Source organism: Homo sapiens, chromosome 9 (assembly GCF_000001405.40).
Source record: "Homo sapiens chromosome 9, GRCh38.p14 Primary Assembly".
NCBI classification, from domain to species: Eukaryota; Metazoa; Chordata; class Mammalia; order Primates; family Hominidae; genus Homo; species Homo sapiens.
The window spans coordinates 92,612,751-92,636,003 of record NC_000009.12 but is presented as its reverse complement, the minus strand read 5'-3'; the positions used below and the strand labels follow the sequence as shown (position 1 = coordinate 92,636,003).

General features: G+C 45.1%; 2 protein-coding genes and 1 long non-coding RNA gene across 8 annotated transcripts in view, besides 1 other annotated feature; 1 reads left to right on the top strand and 2 right to left on the bottom strand.

Annotated features, from left to right (window-relative positions):
- IPPK (inositol-pentakisphosphate 2-kinase) overlaps positions 1-22,821 on the top strand; it is a 56,949-nt gene extending 34,128 nt beyond the window's left edge. Inside the window, exons 10-14 of one of the 3 annotated variants that reach the window (XM_017015041.2) lie at positions 696-846; positions 1,516-1,618; positions 11,378-11,453; positions 16,439-16,518; positions 19,947-22,821. In XM_017015041.2, coding sequence (XP_016870530.1) covers positions 696-846; positions 1,516-1,618; positions 11,378-11,453; positions 16,439-16,518; positions 19,947-19,952 — 416 coding nt within the window. In that variant the 3' untranslated portion in view covers positions 19,953-22,821. Of the gene's footprint in view, positions 1-695; positions 847-1,515; positions 1,619-11,377; positions 11,454-16,438; positions 16,519-19,946 lie in introns of those variants that run through there. The other 2 variants (NM_022755.6, XM_047423732.1) reach the window with 2 other exon arrangements.
- Positions 14,953-15,223: a silencer, noted in NCBI's record as "fragment chr9:95383063-95383333 (GRCh37/hg19 assembly coordinates)". NCBI's record gives its function as "represses an EF-1alpha promoter that drives an FKBP-Casp9 reporter gene in an ReSE screen in HepG2 liver carcinoma cells {active_cell/tissue: HepG2}" and the evidence as "EXISTENCE:reporter gene assay evidence [ECO:0000049][PMID:32094911]".
- LOC100128361 (uncharacterized) lies at positions 15,471-17,954 on the bottom strand. The gene has a single exon (NR_036505.1). It is a non-coding gene; the product is annotated as an uncharacterized LOC100128361 (long non-coding RNA).
- CENPP (centromere protein P) overlaps positions 15,475-23,253 on the bottom strand; it is a 295,062-nt gene continuing 287,283 nt past the window's right edge. For 2 of the 4 annotated variants that reach the window (NM_001012267.3, XM_024447543.2), the window contains exon 8: positions 15,475-22,985. In NM_001012267.3, the coding sequence (NP_001012267.1) occupies positions 22,855-22,985 (131 nt within the window). In that variant the 3' untranslated portion in view covers positions 15,475-22,854. The remainder of the gene's footprint in view (positions 22,986-23,253) is intronic. The other 2 variants (NM_001286969.1, NM_001286971.1) reach the window with 1 other exon arrangement.

The window sequence follows — 23,253 nt, the reverse complement described above, 5'->3', positions numbered from 1 at the left end:
ATAACAGGTCCTTGTCAGTGGCTTTGACCCCTGTCTGTGGCTCTGTGTGGCTGGTTCTGAGCTCGTGCCTGTCGCCAGCCCAGGTCTTACCTGCCTCTCAGTGTGGGCTCATGGCTCTGGACTCTGCAGACAGTGTCCCAGGGTTTTCCTCCTTTAGTGGTCTTGCAGATTTAGGATGTCAGCAGGATCTTAGAAATTCCTTGCCTTGCAGTTGCAATGAGTCGAGATCACGCCACTGCACTCCAGGCTGGGCCACAGAGAGCAAGACTCTGTCTCAAAAAAAAAAAAGAAAAGAAAAAGAAGAAATTTTGTGACCTGACTTAAAATGAGGATTATGTCTAAACTTAGATCATAAAGTGACTTCCAGGGCTGTTGTGGTGGAATCTAAAGGACATTCTGAGAGTTGTGTTGGGAGAGGAGAGCCACGAGGCAGGACATGTGCATTTCTTGCTCCCTCCTTTGTGCTTGGCCTGGTGCATCCAGTGTGGTCCAGGCACGCTGCAGCTCCAGCAGCTCTGTGAGGCGGGAGCGTCATCTCGTCTGTCCTTAGTGCCAGTCCAGGGTGCAGTCCTTGCCTGTGGTGATGCCCGTATGGCGGAGCCCAGGATGAGCCCTGCGGTCTGCGCCGGCCTGTGTCTCCCTCCACGTTCTTTGATAATCAACATGCTCTCGTTTTCCCCTGATGTTCTCGGTAGGAAAAAACACCCCAGAGCGCTCGGGGTTACCGAAGGGCTGTCTTCTGTACAAAACCCTCCAGGTGCAGATGTTGGACCTGCTGGACATCGAAGGCCTCTACCCTCTGTACAACCGGGTTGAGCGATACCTGGAAGAGTTTCCCGAGGAGAGGTGAGGTCGGGCGGTCCCCCTGTTGGGCAGCCCTGAGAGGAGACTGTGGGAGTGGGCAGGGTAAGAATGCGCCTCCCAAGGCACAGCTTCCCAGGAGGATGAAGCATGCCGGCCACTTCCTACCCCAGTCCTCCGCTCCCAGGTGCCCAGGCCTGCTCTGGAATGTAGTGCCTTGTAAAGGAGGAACAGGGTCACTTGTTTCTAGAAAAGAAAGCACGTCTGTGACCTTGCTAATTCGAAACCCCAAGATGGGGCTGAGCCTGCAGAGGGCAGTGTTGCTCCACAGCTGAGCAGCGCTCCTGCAGGTCGTTCTGTGTCAGCCCAGCCTCTGTCCTGGGCTTTCACTGCGGGTCATTGGGGTCCACACCCGCGGTGTCCAGTCGGGGCCAGGATCCTCTTCCTTCCTCGCTGGTCTTCCTTGCATCTCTGACGCAGGATGCTACTTGTCATGAACAGGAGAAGGCTCAGCTTCAAGGCTCGCTGGTTCTGGTCTTGCTGAGTTCTGTTAAAAACCTTGATGTTTAACATGAGGGAGATAGATCTGTTATGTGTTTTTCAAAACAAAATGTGTGATGTTTAGTGGTGCTGGGCTTTGTAGACTGTTAGCAGTTTAAGAAACAACCTCCGTGCGGCTTTGTCATCCTGTTTTTATTGTGCTTTCTTCTTCAGAAAAACCTTACAAATAGATGGGCCTTATGATGAAGCATTTTACCAGAAGCTGCTTGACCTTTCCACTGAGGATGACGGGACAGTGGCCTTCGCGCTAACGAAGGTGGGCAGACCCATCCAAAAACTTGCTGTGTGATCCTTAGCTTCTTAGCACTAATCTGTTTTTTTGTTTTTTGTATTTTTTTTTCCATTACCTACCCCTGAGGTTTAAAGCAGAAAACTTGGGATCAAAAAGAAGTGGCTGAAGTTTCTCCCAGATGAACTGGGGCAGGTGGTGGTGCATTGAGGTTTTAAGGGGAATTTCCCTTGGTTGAGTTCTGCCCTGGCCCGTTCCTGGTGGGGTCAGGCCCCAGGGGCGGCCGATCTGCAACCCATCTGCATGCCTTCTCAGCAGCCCACAACAGGCTCTCTGCCAACTGTCCCTTGCTACAAGGCCCTTGCCAGGGTCCTGGGACCCCACCTGTGCCTCTGCCCTGCCCCTGGCTGTATGCGGGCGGCTTCCTTCCCTTAGAACCGAGGCCAAGGGACAGCCTGCAGGAGTCTCTTAGGGAAGAGGACTGGCCCTGTACTTCCTGGGTCTGTGAAATTCAGGGCTCCATGAGCTTGGATAGGAAAAAAATGGCATCTTCATTTTCACTAAGCTGTACCTGGAATTTAGCATTTCTTTCCATTACGAATGTGGCAATGAGCCTGTGGGTTCATCAGGACCCAGGAGTTTGCCACTAAGAGAATAAAAAAACAGACTTTCCGTCTCACACTGTAACTGCAGACACTTTGAGATGTGGTTTATTCATCACTGCATTAAATGTTACATATTACTACGGAATACATTTGTTTTTAAAAATATTTTGGCTCAGCACTTTGGGAGGCTGAGGTGGGAGAATTACTTAAAACCAAAAGTTGGAAGCCAACCTGGTCAACATAGTGAGACGCCCATCTCTACAAAAGAAAAATTAAAAAATTAGCTGGACGTAGTGGCGTGTGCCTAGAGTCCCAGCCACTTGGGAAGCTGAGGTAGGAGGATGCAGTCAAGGCTGCGGGGAACTGTGATCATACCGCTGTGCTCCAGCCTGGGTGACAGAGCAAGCCCCGTCTCAAAAAAACATTTTTTTTTTTTTTTGGTATTTTACATTTCTGCCACCTGTATTTTATATTACACATTTTAAAATGTTATCCTGGGCCGGGTGTGGTGGCTCACGCCTGTAAACCCAGCACTTTGGGAGGCTGAGGCGGGTGGATTATGAGGTCAGGAGATTGAGACCATCCTGGCTAACATGGTCAAACCCCACCTCTACTGAAAATACAAAAAAATTAAGCAGGCGTGGTGGCAGGCGTCTGTAGTCCCAACTACTTGGGAGGCTGAGGTAGGAGAATCACTTGAACCTGGGAGGCAGAGATTGCAGTGAGCCAAGATTGCACCACTGCATTCTAGCCTGGGCGACAGAGCGAGACTCCATCTCATAAAAAAAAAAAAAAAAGTTATTCTGAGAGAGGCCCATAGGCTTTACTAGGCTGCCAAAGCCTTTACAGGACAATAAGCAGTGAGGAAACCTGTTCTGGAGCGAGCTGGCGCTCCTCCCCACATGTGCATGCACCGCTGCCTGGAGCCCTGGGACCCACTTGCCCTGTCCCGTTGACATGTCTGTGGCTCACATTTGGGAGAGAGCCCTCAGTGCTTTCTTTAACTGGGGCTGCAGCTGTCTGTTTTGAGGAGAACTGAGGATGTCTGGTAAAGCCTCAGGTGAGGCTCTGACGCAAAGGGCCACAGGGATGTTAGCAGAGGCCCAGGGCAGAGTTGTCATCCTGGTGAGGAGAGTTCCAAGTGGAGCCCTGGGGTGAGAAGAAAGCAGTGGCACCTGCCTCGTGCTGTCTGCCAGTTGGGTACGTTGATTTAGGTATAAACAGCAGTGTGGCGGGTTTTTTCCTAAGAGAAGAAACAGGACTTTATTTCCTTTTTATGTATTTCTGTATTTTTCAGTTTTCCACAAAATAAGTATGGATTACTTTTTAATTTTACTTTAATCTTTTAACCTGATATGTAAATGTAGTGTTGTAAGCAGCTAAAGCAGACATTACTTAACTAGCAGAAGGGCTAAAATAAAGACACTGAAACAACACCAAATGGAGGTGCAGAGAAACTGGATCTCTCATCTGTTGCTGATGGGGATGGAAAATGACACAGTCACTCCGGAAAACAGTTTGGAAGGTTCCTACACACTAAACACGCAATTACCCTGTACTTGTGCTCCTGGGCATTTATCCCAGAGAAATGAAGACTGACACTCACCAAAAAACCTGTACAGAAATGTTCACAGCAGCCCTTTTTGTAACAGCTAAAAACTGGAAACCACCCACATGTCTTTCCACGGTGACCTCCAGCGGGTCAGACAGACTGTGCATTCATACCACAGAACTCTGCTCAGCACCAAAAAGGAACAGACTCTTGCTAAACAGCCCAGGTGGACCTCCAGGGGGCTTTGTTGGTGACGAAAACCAATCTCCAGAGGTCACACTGAATGATTCTGTGTGTATAACATCCTTGAATGGCAAAGATTTGTGGTTGCCAGGGGTTGGCAAGGAGGAACAAGGGAGGTAGATGTGGTTATAAAAGGTCAAACCAGGGGATCCCTGTGGTGATCAGACTGTTCTGTATCTTGACTGTGGTGGTGGATGCATGAACCTACGTGTGATCACACACACACTCTCATACACACTCGCATATATGTAAAACCCGAGATATCTGAATAAGATTGTGGATTGTGTCAGCATCACTCACCTTGCTGTGATATTGTAGCTTTGCAAGATGTTACTGGTGGGAGAAACGTGGCTTGAGGTCTTTCCGTGCTGTCATAGAAGGGCCTGCCCTTTTTCTCTTGTAGGAAGTTAGCTTCTGGTAATTGAACCTGAAGAGGGTAGTTGTGAAGCTGAAGCTGAGGAGTAGGCTGAGGACATTCCTTCCTACACAAAAGTTCTTGCACTCATATTGTTTATCTAATTGAACCCTGTGGGCCGGGTACGGCAGCTTACGCCTATAATCCCAACACTGTGGGAGGCTGAGGCAGGTGGATCAGTTGAGACCAGCCTGGCCAACATGGCAAAACTCTGTCTCTACTAAAAATACAAAAATTAGCCAGGCATGGTGGTGCATGCCTGTAGTTCCAGCTACTTGGGAGGCTGAGGCAGGAGAATCGCTTGAACCCGGGAGGTGGAGGCTGCAGTGAGCCAAGATTGCACCACTGCACTCCAGCCTGGGTGACAGAGCGAGAGTCCATCTCAAAAAAAAAAAAAAAAAAAATTGAACTGTGTACCGCTGAAGAAAAGAGGGAATATTGTCTTCATTTCAGTGCTCAGGAGACTGAAGCCCCCAATAACTCTTGCTTTTGTCTGTTGTGTAGTATCTGGTAGCAGGGGTCAGCAGACATTTGTAATGTCTGGTCCCTGTTGCAGGTACCCGGCCTGGCCACTGTAGCTCAAAAGGAGCCATGGAGAAAACATGAGTGGGGCTGAGTTCCAGGAAAACAAAAACAGGAGGTGGTGGGCTGCATTTGGCCCCCAGCCCATAGTTTTTTGACCTCTGTGTACTTTTACTTATTAGTTTTTTTTATGTCATTTTTTGCTCTATGTGTTTGGAAGTTACTCCTGTTTCTCTCCCTTTTGTGGTGTCTTGTCCAATTTGATCCTGCATATTTAAAGTCTAATCAGTTATTTCATACTCCCAGTCCACACACAATATAAGGACTTGGGACACTTAATTCCAGTTGTCTCTCCAAACTTATGTGCAGTATTGTTCTGTTTGTCTTGGTATTTTTTTTTTTAGTCATAATTTAGAGTATTATTTTACACAGATGTTTAGATTTATCCATGTGTTTTTCCATATCACTGCCTAACATTCTTGTAGCTTAGCTATTTCTCCATTTTCCTTCTTTTCTGTAACAACTTTATTGAGGTGTAATTTATATACCATACAGTTTACCCACTGAAAGTGTTCAGTGCAGCGGTTTTGACTGTATTGAAAGATACGTGCAATCATCAGCACAGTTGATTTTAGATTTTCATCACTTCAGTAAAAACCCTGTACCCTTTAGCTATCGTCCCATTGTCTCCCCATGACCCCCAGCCTTAGGCAACTACCTGTCTACTTTCTATCGCTGTAGACTTGTCTCTTCCAAATATTGCATATAAACAGAGTCATTGAATGTGTGGTCGTTTGTGGCTGGCTTCTTTCACTTAGCCTGATGTCTTCAAGGTTCATCCATGTTGTAGCATGCATCAGTACTTCATTCCTTTACATGGCTCAGTAATAGTCCATGGGGTGGACATATCCATTCATCCATTGATGGACATTTGGGTTGTTTCCTCTTTTTGGCTATTATGCTCAATGCTGTTATCAATATTTGGGTACAGGGTTTTTTTGCATGGATGTGCGTTTTCACTTTTCTGGGGTAATATGCCTAGGAGTGGAATTGCTAGGTCCAGTGGCACTTTTATGTTTAAATTTTTGAGGACCTGGGCAGACTTTTCCAAAATTGCTGTACGGTTCGATCTTCCCACCAGCAGTGTATGAAGTTGTCTTTATTTTTTTCCCATCTTCAGCAACACTTGTTATTACTTGTCCTTTTGATTTTAGCCGTCGTCGAGAGTGTGCAGTGGTATCTTGTAGTTTTGATTTGTATTTCCCTGAAGACTAAGAGCATCTTTTCATGTGCTTGTTGCCCACTTATATATCTTTTTCAGAGAAATGTCTATTCAGATCCTTTGCCTACTTTTTTTTTTTTTTTTTTGAGATAGAATCTCTCTCTGTCACCCAGGCTGAAGTGCAGTAGTGCAATCTCAGCCTCCTGAGTAGCTGGGACTAACTATAAGTGCACACCACCATCCCTGGCTAATTTTTTGTATTTTGTTAGCGACAAGGTTTCACCATGTTGCCCAGGCTGGTCTTGAACTCCTGAGCTCAAGTGATCCACCCACCTCGGCCTCCCAAAATGCTGGGATTACAGGTGTGAGCCACCGTGCCCAGCCCCCTTTGCCTACTTTTTAATAGTGTCATTTATCTTGAGAATTCTTTGTATATTCTGGCTACTAGACCCTTATCAGATACATGATTGGCAAATATTTTCTCCTATTCTGTTGGTTGCCTTTTTACTTTCTTGGTAATATCTTAGATGCACAAACATTTTTAATTTTGTTGAAGTACAGTTTAGTTTTTCTTAGGTTGTTCATACTTTTGGTGTCATATCTAAGAATTCATTGCTAAATAAATCTAAGGTCATGAAGATTTCCCATGTTCCCTTTTAATAGTTTTATAGTTTTAGCTCTTATAGTTAGGTGTTTGATCCATTCTGAGTTAATTTTGTATGTGATTTCAGGTAGAGGTCCGACATCATTCTTTTTTTTCAGAGACAGGGTCGGGTCTTGCTCTGTCACACAGGCTGAAGTGCAGTGGTGTGTTCGTAGCTCACTGCAGCTTCAAACTCCTGGGCTCGAGTAATCCTGCCTCAACCTCCCCTGTAGCTGGGACTATAGGTGTGCACCGTAACACCCAGCTCCAACAATATTCTTTTGCATGTAGATATACAGTTGTCCCAGCACCATTTTTTTGTTTTTTTTTTGAGACAGAGTCTCACTCTGTCACCCAGGATGGAGTACAGTGGCACGACCTTGGCTCACTGCAACAACCTCTGCCTCCTGGGTTCAAGCGATTCTCCTCCCTCAGCCTCCTAAGTAGCTGGGACTACAGGCATGTGCCACCATGCCCGGCTAATTTTTTGTATTTTTACTAGAGACAGGGTTTTGCCATGTTGGCCAGGCTGGTCTTGAACTTCTGGCCTCAAGTGATCTGCCTGCCTCAGCCTCCCAAAGTACTGGGATTACAGTTGTGAGCCACCGTGCCCGGTCAGCACCATTTGTTGAGGAGACTATTCTTTCCCCGTTGAGTGATCTTAACATCCTTCTTGAAAATCAGTTGACCATAGATGTATGGCTTTATTTCTGGATGCTCAGTTGTTCATTGATCTATATGTCTGCACTTATGCCAGTACCCTGTCTTGAGTACTACTGCTTTTTAGTAGGTTTTGAAATGGAGAAGTGTGAGTTCTCTAACTTTGGTCTTTGTTTTCAAGATTGTTGTGACTATTTGGAGCCTCTTGTAATTCCATATGAATTTTAGAATCAGCTTCGTCTACAAAGAAGCCAGCTGGGATTCTCATAGGGACTTGAGGAATCTGTAAGTCACCTTGGGTAGTAAGTCTTTTGATCTATGAACATGAGATATTTTTCCATTTATTTAGATCTTGGTTTTCTTTTGACATTGTTATTTAGTTTTCAGAGTGTAAACTAAGGTTTTATGCTTCTTTGTTAAACTTATTTCTAAAATATTTTCTTTTTAATGCTGTTGTAAATGGAATTGTTTTCTGAATTCCATTTTCAGATTGCTCATTACAAGTGTATTCAGGTGTAGAAATACAATTTGATTTTGTATATTGATCTTGTAGCCTGCATCGTTGCCGAGTTTGTATGTTCTAATAGTTTTTTAGTGGATTTTTTTAGGATTCTCTCTATTTAAGATCATGTGTGAGTAGAAATAGTTTTGCTTCTTCGTTTCCAATTTGGATGCCTTTGATTTATTTTTCTTGCGTAATTTCCTGACTAGAGCCTCCAGTACAATGTTGAATAAAAATGGCAGGAGTAGACATCCCTGATTTGTTCTTGGTCTTATGGGGACAGTGTTCAGTCTTTCATCGTCATGTATGATGTTAGTTGTTTTTTGTAGATTCCTTTATCAGATTGAAGAAGTTCCCTTCTCTTCCTGATTTGCTGAGTGTTTTTATTCTGAAAGGGTGTTGGATTCTGTTAGATGCCTTTTCTATATCATTTGAGATTATCATGTGGTTTTTGTCCTTTATTCTGTTAATGTGGTGTATTACATAAATTTATTTTCTGGTGTTAAAACCAACTTTGTATTTCTGGGCTAAATCCCACTTGGTCATGGCGTCTTGTCCTTCTTATATGTTGCTGGATTCAGTTTTTGATTATTTTATTGAGGATTCTCATATCCATATTCTTAAGATAGTGTGTAGTTTCGTTTTCTTGTGATGTCTTTGTTTTTGGGATCGGGGTGTAACACTGGCCTCATAGAATGAGTTGGTGTTCCAGCCTCTTCTATTTTTTGGAAGAAGTTGAGATGGATTGGTATTAATTATTCTTTAAATATTTGACAGAATTCACTAGTGAAGCCATCTGAGTGGGCTTTTCTTTGTGGATAGTTTTTTTATTTTTAATTCATTCTCTTTAATTGTTATAGGTCTAATCATATTGTCTGCTTTTAAGTCAGTTTTGGTAGTTTGTGTCTTTTTAGGGAAGTGTTCAGTTTATCTAAGTTTTCTAATTTATTGGCCTACAGATATTTATAGTTTTCTTCCTCTTCTTGAAGAATATTCTTTAGAAGCTATCTTAGTGAAGGGTTTTTGGTAAATTCCCTCTGTATCTGAATATATTCATATTTTGTCCACAGTTTTGAAAATAATTTTTTATCTGGGTGCACAGAAGGGCTTCATTTCTGTTTTTTTTTTTTCTTAATAGCATTTAAACATTTCATACAACATCTGGTTTTTGCTGTTAAGATGTCTTCTGATAGTCTGTCCTTGCTCAGTAGGTGATCTGTCTTTTCTCTCTGGCTGCTTTTAAGGTCTTCTCTACCTCTTTCTTGTCCTTTTGACATTTTAGTGCAATGTGATTTGGGTGTGCTGTGCTTTATATTTTTCCTGTTTGGTGTATGTTATGCTTTCTCTATTTGTGGATTTATGTCTTTTATTAGTTCTGGAAAATTCTCATTTTCTCAAATATTTTCTCTTCTCCATTATCATATTCACTTCTTCTGGGACTCTAATTTGACCTATGTCAAACCTTATTTTATCTCCCACACATCTTAACTGCTCTTTCATATTTTTCATATCTTTGTCTCCTTGTGCTACATTCCAGGTGCTTTTCTTTTTTCAGCTCTATCTTCCAGTTCATTGATTCATTCAGCTGTGTCTAATCTGCCATTTCACTTGTTTATCGAGTTTTCCATTTCAGTAGTTCTTTTTTTGTTTTTGAGATGGAGTCTCGCTCTGTCACCCGGGCTGGAGTGCAGTGGTGCGATCTTGGCTCACTGCAAGCTCCGCCTCCTGGGTTCACACCATTCTCCTGCCTCAGCCTCCCGAGTAGCTGGGACTACAGGCGCCTGCCACCACGCCCAGCTAATTTTTTGTATTTTTAGTAGAGATGGGGTTTCGCCGTGTTAGTCAGGATGGTCTCAATCTCCTGACCTTGTGATCCGCCCACCTCAGCCTCCCAAAGTGCTGGGATTACAGGCGTGAGCTACCACACCTGGCCCCATTTCAGTAGTTCTATCTTTAATTTCTGAAAATTCTATTTGGTTTGTTTTCACATCTCCTTGGTATTTTTTTCTAGTTCCTTGTGGCTTGTCTATTTCAAAATTCTGTCTTTTATTTCTTTAAGCAATTTATGAAGTTATTTTATATTCTGATATCAGATACAATAAAACCTTGGTGGTTAAAAAAAAAAAATCTCTTATTTTGGCTGACTCATCCGTGTTGCCTTGCTTGATTTTGTTTGCCTTGTTGATTTGTTTGATCTTAATCTATAGGAATCCTGGAGACCCAAATAGGGGATGCCTTCTTCCAGAGAGGATAGGGATCTTTGGCAAAAGGGAAGAGTCTCTGGTTTAGATAGATCCTCTACCCTGTGGCTTATTCCTAGAATCAGTGCTGATAGTGGCACTGGACTGTAGGACAGCTCAGCCTTCCCAGTTGCTTCATGCTCAAAACTCTAGTTGCAGCTCTTTGTGGGTGGGTGGTGAGAAGAGGGGGTTGGGTTAGGGATTTTCCTTACCTTATGCAAGCCCAACAACACGTTAAAAGGAGCGGTTTCAGGGATCTAGTTGTTTTTAGAAGGGCTGTTGGATGTCCTCCATAATCCTGTCTCTTTAGTGTGTTCACACCACTGTTAGTTACTTGGGTATTAATTTGTTGGTATTAAAAATAACGTTGACATTCACATTTTTGTACATCTACCGTTGTGCACTTAACATAGCATTTCTGTAAGACAGATTTTTAGATGTAAAATTGCAGGGTTTATTTTTGATAGATCCTGTCACATTGTCCTCCCCAAAAGATTTTACTAATTATATTTCTTCTTGCAACAGTTGAAGACAGTTTCCCCATGTCCTTGCGAACACTAGATATTACTAATATTTAAATGTTTTATTTTAATTTTCTAAACTTTTGCTTCATTAATCATTGTGAAATACTAGCAAATACAGAAAGGTACACAGAAAAAAATATACAACCCACTGACTTGTCACAAAGTAAAAATTCTTATGGAACCACCACTTATATTTGGACATGGAACACTGGCAGCAATCAGAATTCCTGTTGTCCCATCCAACCAGACCTTTCTCCTTCCTCCCAGGGTTAACTGTTGTACTGACTTACATCCCTGTAGTTTAGTCTGTCCTGTTTTTGAACTTGACTTACGAGATCATGCTGTATATATTCATGTCTCCTGTTTGTTTTTTTTTTTTAGCTCTGTGTAATATTTATGAGATTCACCTTTGCTAGTGCACCCATTGCCACATTTCTATTTACTTTATTGCCACATTTCTATTTACTTTAGAGTGATCCATGAATGGATATATAGTAAGTCCTTTCTCAGCATCCTTGACAGGTTCGTGGAAACTGTGACTTTAAGTGAAGTGACCTATACAGCAGGTCCTCAAATAACATCATTTTGTTCAATGTTGTTTTATCATAACGATGAGAAAAGAAATGGCTTTGTTTTTATTTTTGTTTTTTTGAGACAGAGTTTCATTTCATCGTCCAGGCTGGAGTGCACTGGCACGATCATGGCTCACTGCAGCCTTGACCTCCTGAGCTCAGGTAGGTGATCCTCCCACCTCAGCCTCACAGGTAGCTGGGAAGCACAGGCATGTGTCACCACACCTGGCTAATTTCTTCCTTTTTTTTTTTTGGAGATGGAGTCTTGCTCTGTCACCCAGGCTGGAGTGCAGTGGTGCGATCTTGGCTCACTGCAACCTCCGCCTCCCGGGTTCAAGTAATACTCAGCCTCCTGAGTAGCTAGGATTACAGGCACCTGCTAATTTTTGTATTTTTTAGTAGAGATGGGGTTTCACCATGTTGGCCAGGCTGGTCTGGAACTCCTGACCTCGTGATCCACCCACCTGAGCCTCCCAAAGTGCTGGATTACAGGTGTGAACCACTGTGCCTGGCATGCCTGGCTAATTTCTTAAATGTTTTGTAGAGATGCAGTCTTATTATGTTGCTCAGGCTGGTCTCGATCTCCTGGGCTCAAGCAGTCCTCCCACCTGGTGTCCCAAAGTGTTGGGATTACAGGCGTGAGCCACTGTGCCTGGCCTAGTTTTGTTATACATTGTTTGGCTTCAAGTCACAGTTTCCCAAGAACCCAGTGACAACATTAAGTGAGGACTTAGTGTACTACAATTTATCTGTTCTGCTGTTTTATGAACATTTGGGTTGTTCCTAGTTTTTGGCGGTTATGAATATTCTTGTACAGATTTTGTGTACATGTGCACACATTTCTCTTGGATATATCCCTAGGAGTGGGATTTCTGGGCCACAGGGATGAGTATACTTAGTTTCAGTAGCTACTGTAAAACAGTTTTACCTGATTATGTTCCCTGCAACCGGTTAGGAGTCACCTGTGCTCCACACCATCTCTTACACTTAGTTGTGGGTCTTCTGAATTTCACCCATTCTGGTGTGTGTGTAGTGGTATCTTGTGATGAGATTAAGTACCTTCTCATATGTTTACTGGATTTTTCCTTTTGTGATCTATTTAAGTCACAATTTAAGTCTCTTGCTCATTTTTTTTGGTAGAGTTGTCTTTTTCTTATTGATTTGAAGGCATTCTTTGTATATTCTGGATAGAAGCCCTTTGTCAATTTTGTGTCCAGTAGGTATCTTTTCCCACTATGTAGCCTATGTAGTTTGTCTTTTGACTTTTTTTTTTTTTTTTGAGACGGAGTCTCGCTCTGTCGCCCAGGCTGGAGTGCAGTGGCGCGATCTTGGCTCACTGCAAGCTCCGTCTCCCGGGTTCACACCATTCTCCTGCCTCAGCCTCCCGAGTAGCTGGGATTACAGGCACCCGCCACCATGCCTGGCTAATTTTTTGTATTTTTAGTAGAGACGGGGTTTCACCATGTTAGCCAGGATGGTCTCGATCTCCTGACCTTGTGATCCGCTTGCCTCGGCCTCCCAAAGTGCTGCGATTACAGGTGTGAGTCATTGTGCCTGGCCCGTCTTTTGATTCTTAATGGAGTCCTTATAAGAACGGTTCATAATGTTAAGGTAGCCTAATTTACCAGTCTTTTTCCCTTTTAAGAAGTCTTTCTTTGCCTTAAGGTCCTGAAGATATTTTCCTGCCATATCTTTAGAAAATTTATTGTTTTGTCTTTCACATTTTGTTGGGTGACTGTCTGAAACTGATTTTTGAAATGGCAGGAGGTGGGGTTTTATTTTCTTTTCAAATGGAATTATCCTGTCGTCACAGAAATTGTGAACACTACAGAGTCATAACAAGCTTTGATATCTGACAAATCCTTCTGTCTTCTTCAAGCATATCTTGGCTGTTCTCGACCTTTTGCATATCTACATGAATTTGAGAATCACCTCACTCAGTTCTGCAGGAAAAGCACAAACAAAACTGCTATCCCACAAAAATTAAAAACTAAAAAAAAAGCCACTGGGATTTTCATGGTGTAGCGTTAAAATGATGAGTGTTGAAATCTATACAATACTGAGTCTTCCAACATGGACATTTAAACTTTTATATATATATATATTATTCTGATAAAAATGTTTTATGGTTCTCTTCAGAGAGGTCTTATATTAATTTCACGATATTTGATGGTTTTAGATGTAAATGGCATCTTTAAAAAGATCTTACTTTAAAAGTGTTTGATTATGCAGTAATGTGATTGGTTTTTCTATTTTGACTTTGCATACATCAACTTTGCTCACTTGTATTAATCCTAACGATTATAGTTTCTTTTGGATTTTCTTTATATGTAATCGTAGTCTGTGAATTTGATGTTTTCCCTTTCCTTCCCAATCCTTATACCTTTCACTTCTTTATTTTACTTCACTTTATGTAGTTAATTTGTGATAGTATGAATTTTAGTCCTGTTCCAAATCTCAAAAGCATTTTACCATCAAGTAAATTGTTTAATGTAGGTTTTTTTTTCCTTAAGTGGCTGACATCAGATTAAAGAAGTTTGTTCCCTTCTTTTCCTGATTTATTAAGAGGATTTTTTAAAATCAGGAGCAGATGTTGAACTTTATCAATGCCTTTTCTATTTCTATTGAGATGATCATATGACCAAAATATTTTCTGTTAACGTGGTTAATTATGCAATTTGTTGTGATGTGTTCTTTTTCTGTATGATGATAATTGGGTTTGCTAATATTTTGTTTAGGGATTTTGGCAGATGTTTATGAGTGATAAGAACTGTGCTTTCTCTTTTTGTAATGTCTGTGTTCAGCCTTGGTGTCGAGGCCTAGACCTGCCCGTAAAACACTTAAAAGATGGTCTGTTTACTCTTTCTCTGTTGCCTGGAAGAGGTGGATTAACAACGGCTGGGTTCAGTGGCTCACACCTGTAATCCCAACACTTTGGGAGGCCAAGGTGGGAGGATCACTTGAGCTCAGGAGTTCAAGACCAGCCTGGGCAACATAGCGAGACCTCGTCTCTAATAAAAGTAATTAAAAATCAGCCGAGTATGGTGGTGCATACCTGTAGTCTTACCTGCCTGAGAGACTGAGATGGAAGGATTACTTGAGCCCTGCAGGTCGAGGCTGTAAGTGAGCTGTGATGGTACCACTGTGCTCCAGCCTGGGCAACAGAACGAGACCCTGTCTCAAAAAAAAAAAAAAAAAAAAAAAAGGAATGGTATTATTTCTGACTTAAATGCTTTGTAGAATCAGCTGTGAAATCAGCTAGGCCCCATAGTTGTCTTTGTAGGAAAGTTTCAAATTTTAGTAAGTTGTATTTTTCTAGAAATTTTTTGTTTTATCTATGTTTTCAGAATTTTGGCATATGATGTTGTTGGGTAATGTTCTTTTATTATCTTTTCATGTTTATAGGATTTGAAGTATGCTCTTTTATTCCAGATGTCTGATATTTGATTTCTCTCCCTCTCTGCTACTGTCTGAATGTTTTACCCTCCCACCCCCCCAAATTTATATGTTGAAATCCCAACTCCCAAGGTGATGGTGTTAGGAGGTGGGGCCTCTGGGAGGTGATTAGGTCATGAGGGTAGAGCCCTCATGATTTGAATTCAGGCCCTTATACAAGAAACCCCAGAGCGCAAGCCAGCCCCTTTCACCATGTGAAGTGACAGTGAAAAGAGGGCTGTGGATAAGGAAGTCGGCTCTCGCCAGATAGCAGATCTGCTGGCGCCCTGGTCTTGGACATCCCAGCCTCTAGAACTGTGAGAAACAAGTTTCTGTTGTTTATAAGCTACCAGTTTTGGGCATTTCGTGATAGCAGCCTGAAGGGGCTAGGACACTCCCTTAATCATTCCCACCAAGAGTTTAGTTTCCTAAGAATCAACTTTTGATCCATTTGTACTCTAGCTAACTGAATAGAGTGTAAGGATAGGAGCTGCTCATTTCCATCTGCTGTGAAAGGTTTTCTCAGGCCCCAAGAATAGTGTGTGGGCCTGAGCTAAATCCGTGCTTTGAGGTTCTCCCCACTCCCTCCCATCCAGTCCTGCCCTTTGGAAAGTGCAGCTTGGATGTTTTCGAACGCCAGATCCTCCAGGTTATATGCAATTGAGGGGAGTGGTTAAAAGGGAGACAGGAGATGATGGTCTGTCATCAGTACAAATATTGAGGCCAGTGATGTGTGAGGCCCAATTCCTTTTCTTTTACAACTGTTTATTTTTGTGAAAGCGAGAGCTATGCCATCTAAAACAATGCAAACCATATATGAAAGTCCAAAGAAGGAAGAGGAGAGAGTGCCTCACATTCTGCTCTGTAGAGGAGACAGTTGTGAGCATTGTGGTGCCTGTCCTTCACCTTTCTCCCTGCCCGCGTCACACACATGTGCACATGTACAGCTTTACGTATGTCGACTCTGACAGTGTGGTGTGTGTTGAGCTGTCCCTGGTCAGTATGGACAGACCCACATAGCTTGGAGCATGTGTTGAAGAGTGTAAATGTCAGAGCCAGCGTACCGGGTTTGAGTCCCTGCCTTGCCATTGACAAGCAGGGCATGACAGACAAGTGATGTCTGTGTCTGTTGCTTGTCTGTAAAGTGGGACGCCGGCCGTGCTGCCCTGTTGGGCTGCTGTGAGGGTGGAGCAAGTTAACACATGCACAGCCTGTAGAAGGGTGGCCGTCTGCCGTTGTCTCTGGTGGCTGTATGATGTTCCGGAGGGAATGTCGTTCTAAGCGATGCCTTGCTGAACACCCCCTGCGCTCTCCTTGCAGGTGTCGAGTGATACTCACTTGATACTCTGAGTGTGGCCAACATGCGGGGCTCAGGTGGCTTACTGCTTTTCCTTCCAAAGGCCGACTGTGGTGACCTTGCTGAAGACAGATCATCCGTCTCAGGGTCTGGAGTCGGGGTCCCACACTGCTTGCCGTGAGAGGTCAGGGGGCGGTGCTGGCCTCTGAGCAGCCCCGTGGCACTGAGGGCTGGCCCAGGTGCTCTCACAGGGCGACCTCCTGACGCCCGTGCTCACCGTGGCCCTCGCTCCTAATCCCACCCTCAGGTTCTGAGGCAGGAAGCAGTTCCCACACTTGGCTACTGGGAAGGAAGGTTGTGTGGGGGGGCAGAGGCTTCCTGTGTGACCTGGAGCTGATCTTTCCCGCCCCTGCAGGTGCAGCAGTACCGCGTCGCCATGACTGCCAAGGACTGCTCCATCATGATTGCACTGTCTCCCTGTCTGCAGGATGCCAGGTGAGGCCCCCACTGCAAGGCATGCAGCCTGGGTCTAACGGGGTTTTATGGACAGTTGGTGAATTGTTAATAGGATAGTTGGTTTCCCCATATTTAGAGACTCCATGGCGGAGTGACATAACTTCCTTGGCCTATGTGACATCATGGGGCTTACTAACTCTCGCCCTCTAGAAGCTTGTAATTCAGTCAAAAGACAGATTTATGGAGAATAACTTAAAAGGATTGTTAGTACATTGAAAGTTACTGTTTTCTAAGAAAATACTCCCAAGAGCTCAGAAACAATGTGGACAGTGAGCTGCCCATTGCATTCCCTCAAAGAAAGCCAGCCCCTGAGATGTGTGGGTACCTGTGGCCCTTGTTCCTCGGTCTCCCACAGTGGCAGCATGGCGCACCTGCCTTTTTACCACCACAGTCATTTGAAAGCCTGTGAGGCGCGCATTCATTCTGCTTCCTCTTCTGAATAACCAGCCTATGTGCCGCCCCTCTCCCTAATGTCACTAGTTTTGTCCAGTCCCCTCTGTTTCTGGGAATTCGGGATGAAACTGATAATCTCATAGTCGTTAGACAGCATCTCCATCACCGATCTTCAGGGGTGCTAAACCCTGCACCCAGTATTTGCGGAATGTTCCACATTCTTCTAACATGTGTTCCTGGGTCAAGATGACCTTGGTTGCTGGCTGCCAGCCACTCACTTTCCCGGTGCTTTTGAACTAAACAGTTCCCAGGATTCCTGTTCCCTGGCAGGCACAGAATTGTTTACTTTCCAATATGAAATACTGAGGAACATTATAGGGCTAACTGAAGTAGAAAAAAGGTTGTTCTATTTAGTTGAAAACTCCTGTTATCCCCTAAGGAAATACCTACAGGGCTAAGTTATGAGGAATTCCTTAACTGGATTAAGCTGGTGGTGTTCGATGAGAGAAAACCCACGAAGATACCACTGTTCAGCAGCCCCCCGACCAAGGATGCAGCTGGGCAATGGAAATGTGCTTGGATGCAGGGTGCCCTTAGGTGGGCTGTGAAAGGCCGCTGAAGGACAGACATGTTACTCACCTCGTCTAGCACCTGGGAATCTCTTAGTGCCTGGTCAGTGATGTCAAATTGGAAAGCCAGCATGCGGGGAAAGCTGAAGGCCCGGGTCCTTACGACCAGCTGCTCAGCAGAAACGACACTAGGAGGGGAGGGGAGGGCATGTCCTGAAGGCACTGAGCCATGTGGCTTCTCAGACCTAGGGTGTAGGCACTGGAACCATCCTGCACAAAGCACTCTAGCCAGGCCTTTCTCAACAAAAGGAGAGGATCTCAGAGAAGGCTTCTCCTCCGAGAACATGGCGTGTGGGGCTGGGCCTGCTTCCAGGAAGGTGTGCGCAGTGGCCGCACCTGTGAAGTTCCAGTAACTGTGGTGCTCTAGAGGCCTAGGGACAAACTAAGGCTGGGATTTATCATGAGTCATCTTGGCGTCTTGAGATACCTGGTAGACCTGAGACTAAATTTAGATCCCTAGACTAATTTGCAGCTCACAGATAGATTGACCACATTTAAACTTCTTACACCCCCTAAAATAAAGGCTTCTCCAGCTCTGCACTACTGTTTCTGCCCTGTCATAAAGGAAAATGTCTCAAGTTGGATCTGCCTTCCTGTCGCTGCAGAGCTTTGTCCCTTTGGGAATTTGGAACTGTGGAGAGAGCTGCCACAGCTTCCCGGCCTAAACCCTGATGCTCCTCTCGACCTCCCATTTGAAACACAGTGTGCGGCCTTGGCTTCTCCACCCCGATCCCCAGCACCCTTGGAGGCTGCTGGTCCCCCGGTAACCCCCAGCGGGTCAGTGTCCTGGAGAACGGCCTTCCAGGCAAGGGCTGCCCCCCTGCAGCCAGAAGGCCACCTGAGCCTCATTCTCCAAGGCTGCTAGAGGGCACACTTGTGGCACAAGGGACAGGTGTGTCCCTGGGGCCTCTTGCCCAGTCTTGGCCTCCGGGGTACTGAGGGGGAAGAAGAGCATTTCTGTGTCAGGAGCTGGTGCCCGCTGGTCACTGCCATTGGTTCCCATGGAGCTAGCTTGTGGTTGACCCAGGTAGTCAGACCCTCCCCGGGAGCTGCCTGGAACATCCTTCCTGTCTTTACACCCATGGTCTTGTCAGGTGCTGCTTCTGAGAAATTGGGGTGTCCTTTAAAATACGTAACCCTAGTCATGGGCTGGGGATGTGACTGTTCCAGCCCAGGTGCACCCAGCTTGGGTCTCAGGCCTCAGAACTGAGCAGTACCTTGGGCTTCTGAGGTTCTCCCAATAAAATGTGGCCCCTTGGGATGAGCTGCAGGCACACTCCAGCTTCTGGAGCGAGACTCATGACCTTAATTTGTAAATGAGTTATTTGCTGTTTACTCTTCAGATGAGAATAGTTACTTACCCCAGCAGCTTAGTCAGGGATTTGTTTTTTCTACAAACAGGATTCTGGGGCAGGGCAGCAGTGAGCGCCAAGGCCATGGTGAGCAGCGTCAGAGCAGGGACGTGCTGATCAGTATTTCCTCTCCTCGGCAGGAGCTTTTGAAGTTGGGGTTTGGCTTGTTGATTTCTAAATCTCAAAGCGTAGTAAACATTGGGACACCAGAACCCAGGATACTTCTCTTGGACTGAACTGAGCTTAGGTCACTTGTTTAGCCAGTGTCTTGAGTGCTGTGCGCTGAGTGCCCGGAGACGAAAAGCGGGACACACAGCAGTCAGAGCTCAGGACTCGGAGTAATCCTAAATGTGTTTTTCAGGGCAAATAATTAATCACATCTTGTTATAAGCACACGACTTCTGAGGTTAAAACCACAAAACTAAGCCCTGAGAAGCAAAATACAAAGGACTGAAGATAAAATTTGAGAATAAAATGAGAAACCAGATCTCTTCAAATGTGAACCAAAGGAGCTTGCGTTTCTCAGCAGACAGGAGAGGCAAAGAAGAAGGCTTGTCGACATTCCATCCATTTGGCGCTGGAATGGCCAGATCTACTTTTTACTTTTTGTTGGGTTTTGTAATACTTGGCTCATGATAAAGTGATTTTTCAGCGTTCGTTTATACCACTGGGCTGGGGGAACATCGCTCACATGTTCCACATAATTACTTTTCCATCTTTCAGTCCTTTAACCCTCTCTCGCCTGGTATGGTGGGGTGCACTGGCCTGAGGAAGCTTTGCACGCTGGTGCACACAGCCGGCACAGACAGCTGTCACACGCACAGATCACAGGTGCACAGAACGAGTGCTCTTTGTGAGCTGGGGTGTGAGGCCATTCACTTCTCTTTTAAAAGAGATTGATTTATCTAACTTTGCAGAAGTCAAAGAAAAAACATAAAAACATACTAGTTGAAAGAAGAAAGGGAGAGAGAACGGGAGGGAGGGAAATGAATGGGGGGCTTGTGTATCCTGAAATGGTACTTTTTACTTGCAGCTCTGATCAAAGGCCTGTCGTCCCTTCATCGAGGTCCAGGTTTGCCTTTTCCGTGTCTGTGCTGGACCTTGACCTCAAGCCCTACGAGAGCATTCCCCATCAGTATAAACTGGACGGCAAGATCGTCAACTATTATTCAAAGACTGTACGTGCCAAAGACAACGCCGTGATGTCGACTCGGTTCAAGGAAAGCGAAGATTGCACATTAGTTCTCCACAAGGTCTAACTCTTTCCCTGCAGTGTCTTTGAAACTTGAACATAATGTGAAGGCTGAATGATAGAGATATTTTCTGTTGTGTTGGGTGACCTTTGGTTGTGAATGTTTTTGCTTTTAACCCCTTTTGAGGTGGGATTGCCTCTTGGAGACATGGAATTGAAGAGCACTAGAAACAACTTCCTGGACAAGGAATGTAGGAAGTGAGTGCTGTGTCCCAGGAAGCTGCTCACACTCTTAAAATGGAAGTGTCCGTTAAGCCCTGGGAAGACGTTCTGGATAGTTCTTCTTTCCCAACCAGGGCTCATGTCTGATTCTCTAATGCGAAAAGCCTTATTCTAAGACCCAAGGTTTGGATCTGCTACCACCAGACTCCTAACATAGAAAACTTGAATTGTCACATACATTTTACAGTTTGGACTTTTAAGAAAACATGGATACTACTGGAACTTCCCCCAGCTGAGTTACATGGTCACTTTTTCAGTGCAAGCCACATATCAACACAGGTTTTTAGGTGGTTCCCTGCTGCACAGCGTGACCTCGTGGTCGCGCAGATGCCGATTCTGAGCAGTGTAGACTCAGGGTCCCTGTGGAGGTGCTGAAGCCCACAGTTCCACACAGGGCAGCAGGGAGCGCAAGGCTCAGGTCAGGATGGACACCACTCATGCGAGCATTGACCTTTTTTTTTTTGCTTTACAATTTAATCTTTCACATGAGGGGGAGATGAGCTGTTCTTTCCCACTAAAAATTGCTGCTGTAGAAGTTGGAGGTGGAGCTGTGACTGGCTGAGCTGCTGTGGCCGGGCTGGGCAGTGTGCCCCAACAGCTCAGTGCTTTCCTGACACTCCAGTGTCTGGGGTGGTTGAGGAGCGAGTTCTCTCTTCCTCCCAGACCAAGTTCCTCCCTCGGGTTTGCCTTGAGACGTGTTGCGTTTTTGGGCCCCGTGGCCTCTCCCTGTTAGGCTGCCACAGGCCCTGCTTCTGGAAGGTGAACAGCTCCTGGCTGCTGCCGAGAGGGTTCTCGTTGGGGTCACCAAAGTGTGCCCGGCTGCTATGAAAAACGTTGGGAATCTTGGTTTCAGTTTTTTATTCTATGCTAGGTTGTACAGACTTATTTATATCATCGTTTTGAGGGACTAATGGAGGCTTATTGTAACATATAATATTAGTGAAACCATGGAATTATATGAAAATGATACATGAGAAATAAGGAAACTATTTTGCTGATTGTAAATTTTTGTGGGAAATTTTGTGATAACTTGAGAATTATACTTGTTTGAATCAAGGCAACTCTTCTAGAATTTATTGTTCAATTCTGTCATATTTACTTCTAATTCTACTCTCAGAGGTGCAAAAAGATACTTATCTAACTGGACACTTTTACTGTTTTCTTCTCACTTCCAATGACACCGTCTCATACACACGGGTCCTGTGTGCTGGGATGGGGGCTTTGGTGAAGTGCACGGAGCTCACGGACAAGCCGCAGGCTCTGGGAAGCGTGGAGGTAGTGGCCGTTGAGTACTGTCTTGACCCAAGGGAGTTCACTGTTGCTGGGCTGGGGCTGGGGCAGCCTGGTTTGGGATGATTTTGCCCATTGTCACGGTGTGTGGAGGATGCTGGGTCCTGGGTTCAAGTGCACATGTGAGGGAACCCCAGTCCGTGGGAAGGTGGGCTGGGCTCCCTAGGTCCTTCAGGGCTGCAAGAGTTATTGCCTAGCACAGGGCCCAGACAGGGCTGGACTAGACACGATGAAAACAGCCTGTATTTGAGGGAGAAGAGAAAACAGATGGAGACCCCCACTCTGTCTGGTCTTGGCTCCCACCAGCCCGGGCTGTGAGGAGCCCCTGAGCCGCGGGTGCCACTGCTGTGGATGCGTTTCTGGCCCGTCTTGGAAACTGCTGCTGCTGCGTAGTCATGACGGCCCTGACTGGTTTGAGACAACACGCGTTCACAGATCTTAACAATGCTAAATGGGCGACTGATGAGGTCACGGTTCTTAAGGCACATCCGGGACGATCGATATAGCACTTAGGCTATGCAGGGGGGTCTTTCTTTCATAAAGGACCTCATTCCTTGCGTCCCAGCCCAGGAACAGTGCTGTCTTTGCTGTCTTAGGCCATTCTTGTTATTAAGCTGACAGCTTCACTTTCTTGTGGAAGACCAAGAACAGCATGAGGACTTGCTGAGACTGCCTCACGGTGCCACCATGCGGACCGGGGGGAGGCAGGGAGTGAGGGTGTGGCTCCCCTGGGCTACTAAGGACAGTTTAAAGATGAGGCGCCATAGGCATCCGTCTCCAGAGCCCCCAGGAGGCAGGAACCAGGATAAGGGTGGCTTCTCCCAGCTGAGTAATGTGGCCACCATGTCCAAGGTGGACTCGGTGTGAGGCTGCAGTGGGTGGGGGATGGATCCTCCCCACACATCTGAGGACACACAACCACTTGGTACATTTTCTCAGATGTTAAGCTTATTTTTATAAACCACATTGTACGTGTCACTTTTATTTGGCATTTTATACTTAACTAGTTGTATTTATTTTTCATGTCATGAGAGTTTCCATATAATGTGCCATAACTGCATAGACAGCACGTCTTCAGGGTGTGGTTTCTAAGCAGAAAATAGCAAATGTTTATATTGAATAAAATTGCATGTTCCTCCACGCAGCATCTTCATCCTCCACGTTCACTGTTTTGGAACTAGTTGTTCTCCTCTGCACAAAGCGATTTTATCAGGCTTTCCAGAGCAGCTTCGATTCCAAGCAGTCCTACCAGGGTTCGGAAGCTGAGAGGAGCAGTTTCTATGGCTCTGTTCTTGTCCAGCTCCAGGGCTATAAAGAAAACATTAAACCGGGTAAGAAACTTCAAGGTGGCAGCTTTTGGTCTTTTGTTTTCTGCTGGCATGGACCTCACCAAGACCCCGCACTCCTCCCGACTAGCTGCATGGGATGGGACATGCTAGTGGCGGGCGAGGAGATGGAGTGAGTGGAGGCCTCACCTACGGCTGGAGGCATATTCCCTGTGCATTCAGCCTGGGAGGGCCTTGGGGCAGCAATCCCTTTTCATGTTCTTTTTGAGTGATTATTGATAAAAATATTT